At 41.3% G+C, this 12494-nt stretch overlaps 2 protein-coding genes across 5 annotated transcripts in view, besides 1 other annotated feature; one reads left to right on the forward strand and one right to left on the reverse strand.

Annotated features, from left to right (window-relative positions):
* AIFM1 (apoptosis inducing factor mitochondria associated 1) overlaps positions 1 to 12016 on the reverse strand; it is a 36480-nt gene extending 24464 nt beyond the window's left edge. For 2 of the 4 annotated variants that reach the window (NM_004208.4, NM_001130847.4), the window contains exons 1-2: positions 11726 to 12016; positions 2636 to 2778 (exon numbers count right to left, since the gene is read on the reverse strand). In NM_004208.4, the coding sequence (NP_004199.1) occupies positions 2636 to 2778; positions 11726 to 11831 (249 nt within the window). In that variant the 5' untranslated portion in view covers positions 11832 to 12016. Of the gene's footprint in view, positions 1 to 1330; positions 1462 to 2635; positions 2779 to 11725 lie in introns of all 4 variants that reach the window. The other 2 variants (NM_145812.3, NR_132647.2) reach the window with 2 other exon arrangements.
* RAB33A (RAB33A, member RAS oncogene family) overlaps positions 1 to 12494 on the forward strand; it is a 74248-nt gene that overhangs the window by 43203 nt on the left and 18551 nt on the right. The window lies entirely within an intron of this gene.
* Positions 11665 to 12004: an enhancer, noted in NCBI's record as "active region_29939". NCBI's record gives its function as "activates an Ori minimal core promoter by ATAC-STARR-seq in GM12878 lymphoblastoid cells {active_cell/tissue: GM12878}" and the evidence as "EXISTENCE:reporter gene assay evidence [ECO:0000049][PMID:35858748]".

The following is a 12494-nucleotide window of genomic DNA, read 5'->3' on the forward strand; positions in this document are numbered from 1 at the left end:
CCTTTCCAGCCTTCAGAACTATGAGAAAATAAACCTCTGTTGTTTAAGCCACTCAGTCCGTGGTGTTTTGTTATGGCAGCCCAAGAAACTAATACAAACGTTCAACAACTTACAGCTATATCTCATCAAATCTGAACACTGATTTTAAGTTCATAGTTCTCTTGAGACTAATACCAATTTCGGACAAAAAAACTAAGCCACCTCAGATCAAGTTTTCAATAATTTAGAACCTAAAACAAAACTGTACATAACAGTTCAATAACAGTTGTAGGTAGACAAAAGCTTATCATTTAACCTGGAACCACTTTATAATACGGTAGCTTTATTATTACCAGTGTTGGATAAACACAGAGTACAATGAGGCATTTAAATGAATGACTTGAGAGGAACTTGTGCTTCTTAGATATTTCTAAGGCAGGAGAAAGGAACAGTGACCAGCCCTGTCTTGTAGCTTGGCATCAAGAAAATTTGCATGGTCAACTCTGTGGAGGCCATCCAACTCTGGTACAGCAACACGGACCAGGAATTTATCAGGTTTAAATTGTTACCAACATACTGAACACAAAGGCTTTAAATCTATTTTTGAATGAATGGGGTGGAACTGATGGGAAAAGTTGAGAGATATGAAATGCAAAAAGTAAGGCTCAGAGGGTAGTATCTGAATTACGAATGAGAGGCATTACAGAAAGCAATCTACATGAATGTGTTAGCTTGTACCGCTTCAGCCACTAGTTTGACCAAATTAGAGATTACAAAGGGACACTGCCAAATGAATTTACTTTGAAATAGAGGCTGTGGGTGGAAAGGTGGATGGGGAGAATATTGCAGTTTCTATGGCTTTTTGGATCTCCTCAGAAGCATTCAATAAAATGCCTTTTCATAGTCAAAGTCTGGTTGATCGTTTCCCACAAAACACAAACATTACATTTTACCTAAAATGATTCAAAAATGGATGATGTTCACATTACCTTTATTTGCTTATTTAACATTTACTCTGAGACTGTCTTGTTAGATATGCAGCACTAAAGCACAATATAATTTGGTATCATACAAAATCATTATAAAATTGGCAAAAGTTTCAAAGAAAGAGTTAATGATGAGGATTTGTGATCATCATTAGACTTGTGGCTTTAGCTATATCTGGTAGGACTTCAACAGTTTGAAGAATGAGATTTGAGGACTCTCTAGTGACTGACAATGTCCCTTTAATAAACACCTAGAGAAAGCACATGCTGTGAATATTTTACTATATTCTAATGTATCAAGTTTTCATTAGTGCCATGGGCTCACCCACCCTACCCCAAAATATGTTTTAGTGTAAGCATCTTACATAATAAACTCCTGCCCCAGTGACTGTTGCTCCTACAATTAAGAAGTACACTAGGTTGCTGCCATCTTTCCCAGAAGCACCTGTAGATGCTAGTGATCTAGAAGGGGATCCTAGGTGATGAGACTGCACAACTGTAGGTAAAGATAAGGCCAAGAGAGAAACAAAAGGAAACAGAGTACTAAGTATTAATGAAGAAACATTCAATACAAAGGCAGAGAAGCAGTTTTGGTTACCCTGTGCTAAAAAAGGAAAAAGAAAAAAATGCTGCTCCAGGATTGCAGAATGTGTATTTCATCAAACCACATTATCAGACAGCTCTCGCCTATTTCTTACTCTGATTTGACTCACAATAGGCAAGAACTATCTACTTTTCTTGTCCGTTTGGGAGTCACATCAGGGGATGAGGATATAGGTAGCTTCAAATAATTTTCATGTCCCTTTCTTTAAGCTAGCAACCAAGGAACAAAGATAAATTCATTGTCTTACCAATGTAGAAAAAAACCCCTAAACTTGTAATGGCTTAAGTAAAACAAACAGCTTCCTTCAATCAAGGGTGTTACTAGGTGTTATCTAAGTTGGTTCACTCAACCTTACAGGATCCAACTTTAGACTGATCGGCTTAGTCACAGTAAACCCTGCCAAGTTAGGAAAAAAACACCCACAAAATAATTCCTCTGTGACCTGCTAAGCTGATCGGAGTTCATTTAAGGAGATATAATGGTGCTAATACTACATAGCAATTAAACACCATATTTCTCACCTCAAACAAACTCCATTCTAAAATCAGTGATACTAGCCCTGTTTCTGTAATTTAGTCTTTGGGTAAGATTCAGGGATAGCTTTCCTTTTAGGAACACTTAATATTTTTGATTGAAGGCTGTTGTTTTTTTAATGTGAACCTCAAGCTGAGGAAATAAAATGTCTGACAAATAGGTCAAAATCAAATATTGTGCTAAGGAGCTGCAATGGATTTTGACTTTATTCACAGGTTAGTGTGTGACATCCAAGAAAACAGGTACAATTTTGTGGGTTACTCGAATCTAGGAAAACATAGTGGCTTTCAAGTAAAGAAGAAAAAGACAAGTGAAAAGAGCAGAAATCAATCAACATGAGATTAAATTTCAGTCATTCCAGAATTGGCTCCCATAAGATATTAGGCAGCAGGCACTTAAGAGAAGGCTTTTTGAAAATTTTTCCAAAAGGAGAAAGGGGAATTAGTTGCAAAAGTTTTAAAGCAGAATACTATCGAGTCTATTAATGGGAGCTGTTTGGCAGCTTCTTTATACACGCTGCTTTTCTACTTACATAGGCACCAGCTCCTACTGTTGATAAGCCCACAATAAGGACTAACACAGAATTATCGATTTTGCCCCCTGATGCACCAGAGCTAGCCATTTGTCTTGTCATCTGGAGTTCTAGAGGAACATGCCATCGCTGGAACAAGTTGCCTAAGAAACATAATTTATTAAGACACACACATACAAAAATAAAATAGTTAATACATATTTATGATTAAATGTCAATGCACTGTACAAGACTTATTGCCCACAGATATTCACCGTTAAATGATCAAGAAAAATATCATCAAAACTGCATATATAAATACTACAGACAGCTGAATGAACGCTCTTAAGTTGCTGAAGTTTTTAAGAGTAAAATTTAATGCTGTCCAGTGAGAAAATTTTCAGCTTCCAGAAAAGATCATGAAAAACACGAACAGTTCATCAAATACCTCTTCCTTCATGTCTTTCCCATAAATTAAGTAAACACAGAGAGATGACTGAATAGGTAGATATACAAAGTTAACCATGGGCTACCTGGGACATTATAACAACCATTTAAGGAGTAATCTAGATGGTTCCAATCTTGCACAAAATAAAACGCAACACTCTAACCAGGACACAGTTCAATCTTGCATGAAAGGTAATGTGTCCTGGAATACAGAAATGTTAAAGCTCAGAAGAAAATCAGAAAAAAAAATTTTAATGAGTTTCTCTCCCCCAAAGAACTAAAAAATTTTGGACTATGAAATATTTTTTATAATGACAAAATGTGAAGTGTCCAGCAACTCCTTGACTCTTACTCCTCCAAAATAATACAAAGGTTATTTTGACGTAAAACTATGCAGAGCTATGTAATGATGTGATGATCATAACAGCACCTGTACATAGAAATATAAGAGTTCTGTAGATTTCTTTTTCTAGGGAGACGCTGACATTTTCAGATAAAGGAAGGTCTCAGTCTCTGATTATTCTGTGATTACTCCTCGTGTTTGTTGACTATCAACCTAGAGCAGCAAATTTTTTCTGCAAAGAACCAGATGGTAAATATTTTCAGCTTTCTGGGCCATTTGGTGTCTGCTGCAACTACTCAATTCCACTGATGCTGCATAAAAGCAGCCAAAGACAATACATAAATGAATGGATGTGGCCATGTTCCAATAAAACTTTATGGACACTGAAGTTTAAATTTTATATAATTTTCATGTGTCACGAAATTCTTTTTTTTTTCAGCCGTTTAAAAAATGTAGGTCAGGCGTGGTGGCTCACGCCTGTAATCCCAGCACTTTGGGAGGCCTAGGTGGGCAGATCACGAGGTCAAGAGATCGAGACCATCCTGGCCAACATGGTGAAACCCCGTTAAAAATTAGCTGGGCAGGTGTGGTGGGGCATGCTTGTAGTCCCAGCTACTCGGGAGGCTGAGGCAGGAGAATCGCTTGAACCCGGGAGGCGGAGGTTGCAGTGAGCCGAGATCGCACCACTGCACTCCAGCCTGGCAACAGAGTGAGACTCCGTCTCAAAAAAAAAAAAAAAGAAAAGAAAAAAGACCAGGTGCAGTGGCTCACGCCTGTAATCCCAGCACTTTGGAAGGCCGAGGAGGGTGAATCACCTGAGGTTGGGAGTTAGAGACCAGCCTGACCAACATGGAGAAACCCTGTTTCTACTAAAAATACAAAAAATTAGCCGGGCGTGGTGGCTTATGCCTATAATCCCAGCTACTCGGGAGGCTGAGGCAGGAGAATAGCTTGAACCCAGGAGGCGGAGGTTGCAGTGAGCCGAGATTGTGCCATCGCACTCCAGACTGGGCAACGAGAGCGAAACTCCATTTCAAAGAAAAAAAAAGAGAAAAAGAAAAAAGAAAAAAAATGCAAAACCCACTCATGGCTCCTGGGGCATACAAAAGCAGGTGACTGACTGGCTTTGGCCTGTGGCTGTAGTTGGCAGACCCCGATCTAGAGCAGTGGTTTTCAAACTTGAGAGTGTATCCCAATGCCCTGAAGGTTTTATAAAACAAAGCTGGCCAGGCCCCAGGCCCAGAGGTTCTGATTCAATAGATCTGGGATGGGGCTCAAGAATGTGCATTTCTAACAAGTTCCCAGGGGATGCTGCTGTTGCTGCTGCTGCTGTTAGGGTGGGGACCACACATTGAGAACCATCTGTCTAGAGCAGGTATATCCTATCTTTTGGCTTCCCCGAGCCACATGGGAAGAAGAAGAATTGTCCTGGGCCACATATAAAATACACTAACACTAACCATAGCTGATGAGCTAAAAAAAAAAAAAAAAAAAAAAAAAAAATCGCAAAAAAATCTCATAATGTTTTAAGAAAGTTTACAAATTTGTGTTGGGCTGCAGGTTGGACAAGCTTAGTCTAGAGGCTGATACTTATGTCCCTGTCCTGTCTAGGCTTTAAAAGACAAACAGAATGGACACTGGTAGTAGCATCCCATGTATACTTGCAGAGATTAGAGAAGGAATTTCCCCCTTGCTTTCATAACGTTAGGCCACAGACGGGTAAAAACAAGCCCAATGTGGATCTGTGGTCTCTCATCTGAAATCCTGGGGACCATGTATAATTTGGAACTTTGAATTATCTGGTCTTAAGTATATGGGGCATATACCACATAGTGACACCTAGCAAGGTAAAGGGCAGCAATTCATAGTTAAACATATTAATATGACCAATCACGCTAAGTGATATTTTAAAAAGATTATAAAGTAGCCTCTCTCCAGTTCAGGTCAGGTTTTACTGGCAAATGAGTTATGAAAACTTGATAGTCTTAAATTTTGGTCATTCTACAATTTCAATTTCTGAATTACAGATAAGAGACTTTAGATCTACACTCTTAGAAAAGGAAATGTATTTTTCTTTACTGTTCTTCTTACCTGCTTTTAGAACTCTTCATCACCACATGAAATAAAATGGTTGAGATTTGGAAATAATGACAAATCATGAAAATAAAAACGTGAGCGGGGCAGAAACTTATCTCAATCTGGGCAAGCTTTTGATTTTCAGAAGCTTACAAAAATAATGAACCATCAGAAGTAGAAAGTGGTAACTCTCAGAGCTTAGAAAATGAAACTGGTTAGGAAAAGTTCCATGTGATTTAGTTCAATGAATTTAGTTTGTCCTCCACCTCTACCCCTGGTTCATTTACTAAAAATAAATTTTTTTTGTTTTTGTTTTTCTTTTTTTTAATTCTGTTTATTCCTCCAGAAGACCCTAAATACAGACATTATAACAAATTTGTTTTAATATCATACTCATGTTTATTCTCCTTCTGCTTGCTTTTCACAAACTGATAATACTAACAGTGTAGATTTAGGAAAGTTCAGCAGCTTTTGTCTCAATTTGCCAAAAAAAAAAGAAAAAAGCATTTAAAAGTAAATGGACTTTTTTTTTTTGAGACAGGGTCTCACTCTGTCCCCAAGCTGGAGTGCAGTGGCACAATCTCGGCTCACTGCAACCTATGCTTCCTGGGCTCAAGCCATTCACCAGCCTCAGCCTCCTGTGTAGCTGGGACTACAGGCGTGAGCCACCAACGCCCAGCTAATTTTTCTATTTTTTGTAGATACGAGGTTTCACCATGTTGTCCAGGCTGGAAAAGTAAATTGACTTTAAAAAAAAGTAAACTGGTTAATATTTAAACTACTGCTTGAAAAGAAATGTAATACACTACTCTCATTAATAAACCAACTTTTAAAACTTTTTATATACCTACAAAGTGACTTTAATTTTGTAAAATGTACTAAGTATTGTTTGCTTACATTCCCCCTCCCCACATTTTCTTTTCCCTATGAAATTCCTCCCAAACCTTTCTCCCCATAGCTTCAAAATTTTAGGAAATATTACATCGTGACTGAAACATGCCTTTTCACTTGTCTTACTAACATGGAAAAGCCAACTTACTCCTTGACTTTTCATCATGGCAGCAGTTTACTTATTTTAGGTTTTCTGCAGTCAGACCACACATACAATGCAATTTCTTCCTCACACTTAGGATTTCATTCTTAAGAAGCCAGTTTGACCTGTGCAACAGCGCCAGACGACACACAGATGTTTGCTCAATAAATATTTGTTGAATTAATGAAGGAAGGAAATAGAAATTCTTCCTAATTCTATTGATATTGACTGAACATTCTTATTACTATTAAAATTTTTTTTAAATGAAAAGGTATCAGTATGTTGCCCAGACTAGACTCAAACTCCTGGGCTCAAGTGATCCTTCCACCTTAGCCTCCAGAATAGCTGGGACTACAGGCATGCACCATCGTGCCCGGATAACTGAACATTTTAAATAATTCTTTGCAAAGAAATTTTAGCCAGGGCAGGCGCGGTGGCTCACATCTGTAATCCCAGCACCTTGGGAGGCCGAGGTTGGTGGATCACTTGAGACCACGAGTTTGAGACCAGCCTGGCCAACATGGTGAAACCCCGTCTCTACTTAAAAATAAATAAATAAATAAATAAATAAATAAATAAAATGAAAAAATAAACTTAAGAGTTTTTTTTAAAAAAAGCTTTAGCCAGATTCCATTTATTTTAGGTTGCTTAATCATAAATGAGTAACCTCAAACACCATAGACCAGCATTAGAATAGTAGCTAAACTAGCAAGTTCATTTCTGTAGGTTTTGTGATTTCCTGTTTTTCCATACTCCCAAAAGGCGTTTTCCAAAAACACAACTTCACAATTGAGGCACCCAGGGATCCTAAATGGTTAAGAGATCTATACGTTCTTGAGACTTGTTTCCTGAGGGTCAAACTGATTTTTCCAGCATGGAGAAAACACAGGACAGCCAGGTGCGGTGGCTCACACTTGTAATCCCAGCACTTTGGGAGGCCGAGGTGGGCGGATCACGAGGTCAGGAGTTCGAGACCAGCCTGGCCAATACAGTGAAACCCCGTCTCCACTAAAAATACAAAAATTAGCTGGGCGTGGTGGCAGGTGCCTGTAATCCCAGCTACTCGGGAGGCTGAGGCAGGAGAATCACTTGAACCCAGGAGACAGAGGTTGCAGTGAGCTGAGATTGTGTCACTGCACTCCAGCCTGGGCAACAGAGCAAGACTCTGTTTGAAGAAAAAAAAAAAAAAAAAAACACAGGACAAGCCTAGATAGTCTGTCCATTGTAGATAAATGATTCTTTACAAGGGATCCAACAACTATTTATCAGCCTTTTTTTTTTTTTTTTGAGACAGATTCTCGCTCTGTCGTCCAGGCTGGAGTGCAGTGGTGTGATCTCGGTTCACCGCAACCTCCACTTCCCGGGTTCAAGCAATTCTCCTGCCTCAGCCTCCCGAGTAGCAGGGATTACAGGCATGTGCCACCACGCTTGGCTAATTTTTGATTTTTAGTAGAGACGGGGTTTCTCCATGTTGGTCAGGCTGGTCTTGAACTTCCAACCTCAAGTGATCTGCCCACCTTGGCATACCAAAGTGCTGGGATTACAGGCGTGAGCCACCACGCCTAGCTATCAGCCTTTTTTAATTTTTTAATATCAACCCTTGCTGGAATTTTAGAAGAAACAGAGTAGTAATAACTATAGTACAGCGTGAACCATTCTGATGAAAGACACACAAGGAAAAATTATTTAGATAACAAAATAAAATCTCTCTTCTGCAAAGTTAAGTCCTTCACAATGCTGTACTAGGGTTCAGTCACGAGAATTTACCATGTGCCAGAGATGGTACAAGATGCTAAGGACACAAAAATAAATAGGACATAATCCATGTCCTCAGGTAGTGTTTAATTTAGGAGAATGGCTGCTACTATTCTGAATATGAGAAAATGAGCTTGATACAAATCACAAGAGACTCCAGATTGCTCAGTTTGGTTTTTTAATCCTTACGTCAGCAAAACAGAAGGGGAAGAGTCACTACTCATCCAAAACAGTATATACCAAACTTGTCTGATCATATGAATGTCAAGGGGCTTGTTAAAATACAGATTCCCAGAATTATCTCCTGGAGAAGGTTAGGAACTGGTTCTCTACTCGATTCACATGAGCAGGCAACTTTTGGAAACATGATCTAGAAGAAAGCTAAGACATGCAGTAACTCCCTCAAAAAGTTAGAACATTTCTAGAAAATGTAACTTATTAACTGGTTACAGAAAGGGCTGAGCTGCCAAAGAATTTCTTCTGCAAAGCCTTGTCTCAGCAGAAACAACGGGGGAAGACTCATCTTTTAGGCTTCAAAACGAAGTCACATTTGGCAGTGTCCAGGAAGCCAGGATCCTTGCCCACAAGGAGCTCAGTTTCCTTTTTAAAGAGGTGAGAAGGATTCCAAATAGAGAAAAACGTTCAAACATTTGAACCTAAAGTCAGGGAGTCGGTGATCAGTTTGATAACATGGGCAGCACTGTTTGGTGACCAAACAAAATATTATAGAACAGAAAATGTCTATTATCTAACCTATCTGCTCCTCTGTGTCTGAATGCAGACATAGAGTGATGACTATGAGTTACCTTCAATCATCTCTGGAAGGAGGCAGAGCATCCAAATAAATAAAGTAAATAAACAAATAGTAGCTATCATGGTTTTAAGGCAGAATGCAACATATAATGGAAATGAACCTGACAATGGTGACAGATGTCAACGAGATAGTTGCAAGGCAGGTTTAAAGTTTAAAGGTTTGGGAGGCTGAAGCAGGTGGATCACAAGGTCAGGAGTTTGAGACCAGCCTGGCCAGCATGGTGAAACCCCGTCTCTACTAAAAATACAAAAAATTAGCCCGGCGTGGTGGTGCATGCCTGTAGTCCCAGCTACTTGGGAGGCTGACGCAGGAGAATTGCTTGAACCCAGCAGGCAGAGGTTGCAGTGAGCCAAGATCGTGCCACTGCACTCTGGGAAACTGAGCGAGACTCCGCCTCAAAAAAAAAAAAAAAAAAAAGTTTAAAGGTAAGGTGGAGGGAGAAATGGTGTATAAACGAACCTTGCTCTTTCCCACCTGTGCAAAAACACACGGTAGATGCTACTACATGAAAAAGAAATCAGATTAAAAGCAGTTAGGAATCAAGCCACAAAACAGAGTTAATTCCTAAAATGAGAGTATCAGAACTTCTTTTTGAAAATTTAACACTACCCTCACCCATTTTTAAAGGCAGATGATGTCATACTTTGGTGCACGGCCAAAGGACAAAGAACAAGTGTATGCAAAGAGATGGATGGATATGTCAGGAAGTCCGAATATATTCTACAGTAGACTGCCTTCAAACAAAGACATGCAGTGGAAAAAACCATTTGAGTCTGTATTTTTCAGTAGTTCTAACAACACCAACCACTTTCCAATGTCTAATAAATCAACTTAACTTTGCAAATGCATATTTAATTGATGAGAACTTTTGGTCAGACTTTAGAATGCTGGTAAAAGTTGTGAGACTTAAGCAAAACAACTACTCAAAGTTTGAAAGGCCAGTGTGGATGAAAAAATTCAGGTTATCGCCGGGCGCGGTGGCTCACGCCTGTAATCCCAGCGCTTTGGGAGGCCGAGGTGGGCGGATCACGAGGTCAGGAGATCGAGACCATCCTGGTTAACATGGTGAAACCTTGTCTCTACTAAAAATACAAAAAAAAAAAAAAAAAAATTAGCCGGGCGTGGTGGCGGGTGCCTGTAGTCCCAGCTACTCTGGAGGCTGAGGCAGAAGAATGGCGTGAATCCGGGAGGCGGAGATTGCAGTGAGCCGAGATCGCGCCACTGCACTCCAGCCTGGGCGACAAAGCGAGACTCCGTCTCAAAAAAAAAAAAAAAAAAAATTCAGGTTATCTCAATTTCTGTGCAACAAGCACAGAGCACCATCATTTCAATACACAAAACCCTCAAAGATGACATCCATTGATAAGGCATTAGTTTAAAAGCTAAGCAGAGGTTTTAAGTTCCAAGAGCAGTATGTCCCAGGACATAACTCAAATACACCTATCAGGAAACATTTTCATTGTGCATAGCAACTGGAAAAACTGTTCAAATGCACATTTGCAAAGACCCTAACAACCCAAGGAAAATATTTTCCACTTTTTATTTTTAAAGCACCCAGGTGTTTCTGTATTGTAAAAGCCTCAAGGATAACTTCTGACATTGCAAATGCCCTAGGGGTGGACATTGAAGGATTACTGATTTTTTTTTCAAAGCAACTCCTACAGGTGGATCATTCATTGCCCCCATGAAGTAACGCAGTACGAAAAGAAGCAGGCTCAAGCCATGCTCAGATAAATTCACGGATATCTGATGTACAATGGGCTAATTACTGGGAAGAGACCCGAATTCATTCTTAACTTTTTGAGGTCAACTTTAGGAAGCAGTATGGAGTTGCAGCGAAGGGATTAAGGACCTGGAGGCTAGCAAACTATCCTTAGCTCTACCTATTAATTAACTATGTGACCTTTGGCAAGTAATTTCACCTCTCTGTGCCTCAGTTTATTATCTATAAAATGAGTGGGTTGACCTTTACCACAAAATCCCTTCCAGCTCTAAAATTTGATGAAACAACTTAATGGAGAACAAAATACAATGCGTTCTGCAAACTGTTTCTTTGAAGCCTTAAAGACCACCAAGAAGTACACGGCTCAGGCATCTCCAATTAAGTCTGGGCCAATTCTCTGGGTGTCTGGTACACAACCAACCGACTCCTTACTTGCCCTGCACCGTTTCTGTTTCACTGGGCATTCAAATCCATGGATCTCATCTGTGGTTTGGAAGGCTGAGCAGATAACACCCTCATTTACACAAGAAACTTAGGCGTAGGGCTTAAACGTCCTGTTTAAAGTCTCAATCGGTAAATGACAAAGTCTACTTGACCTCATTGCTCTAAAAAGGGGGGTGGGGGGTGGGGATGCCGGGGAGGCGCCGACAGCCAGTTGTTCTGGGATCCCTGAACAGCAAACGCTCCCGGGAAAAGGCCTCAAGCCGACTACTGGGTTCAAATCTCTTGAAGGTCAGGTCGGCATGGCTGAGCCAATTCCTCCGCTTGCAAGACTCAGGGTTCGGAGTCTGCCAATTTGGAATTCACGTGACTATGTGTTAAGTTTCTCGCGGGGACGCGGGGGTAGAGGGCTGCAAGGCACAGGGAGCCTAAGGCGCCAGGCCCTCGGACTTGGAGGTTGCCTGGAATGGGTCAGTCACCTGGGAGCCGGTTCCTCTGCCTCGGGCTTCGGACGCACACGGTCCGCACCAAGGGCACCAGCTTCTGCTTCAAAGCACCCGCCGCCAGGCCTCCACACCGGAACATTTCGGCGACCGCTATTCGGGACCTCCTCCTTCCCTTTCCTCTCACGCACGACCGACGGGTCAAACACCGTGAGCCCCGGCCAGCTCCCCCAGTCTCTTCACACGCACATTACGCAGACTCCTCCTCCCAGCTCCGGGTGGGCATTGGACAGAGAAGCCGGCCTGCTAGAGCCGGGGAAGGGGAACGGCGACCGGAGGCCTACTGCGCAGGCGTAGCACTCGCTGCCGCATTGCGATTGGTCCGCACGGCGAGAGGATTTGCGCATGCACTAGCTGGCCGCAAGCTCGCAAAGACGCTGGCTCTAGGTAGCCGGTTTTCGCGAGTTTGTGGCACAGTGTTGGACTGAACGAGTTAAGGAACCTGTTCAAGGAGGGACTCGTGGGGCCGCTTTGATTGGCGGTTGTGCCTGGTGCTGCCGCTGTGTTGGTGACGAGAACTGATAACAGCATCTCACAACAGCGTAGCCCCGGCATCGCACTTTGTTTTTTGGTTTTAGGACACCAGTTACTTGATACCGAAGCCTTCCTGATTCTTTTGCAGTGATCCAGATCCAGTTTTTCCATGAGTCCGAGGCGCGGAACCTGGCTTCCCAGATCCGGCGTGTACTTCCATCTTTTACCAGTTGCCGGCTCTTTCCCACCCAACCCGTTTCCTGGACAAGTA

The sequence above is a fragment of the Homo sapiens genome, chromosome X (genome assembly GCF_000001405.40).
Source record: "Homo sapiens chromosome X, GRCh38.p14 Primary Assembly".
Taxonomy (NCBI): Eukaryota; Metazoa; Chordata; class Mammalia; order Primates; family Hominidae; genus Homo; species Homo sapiens.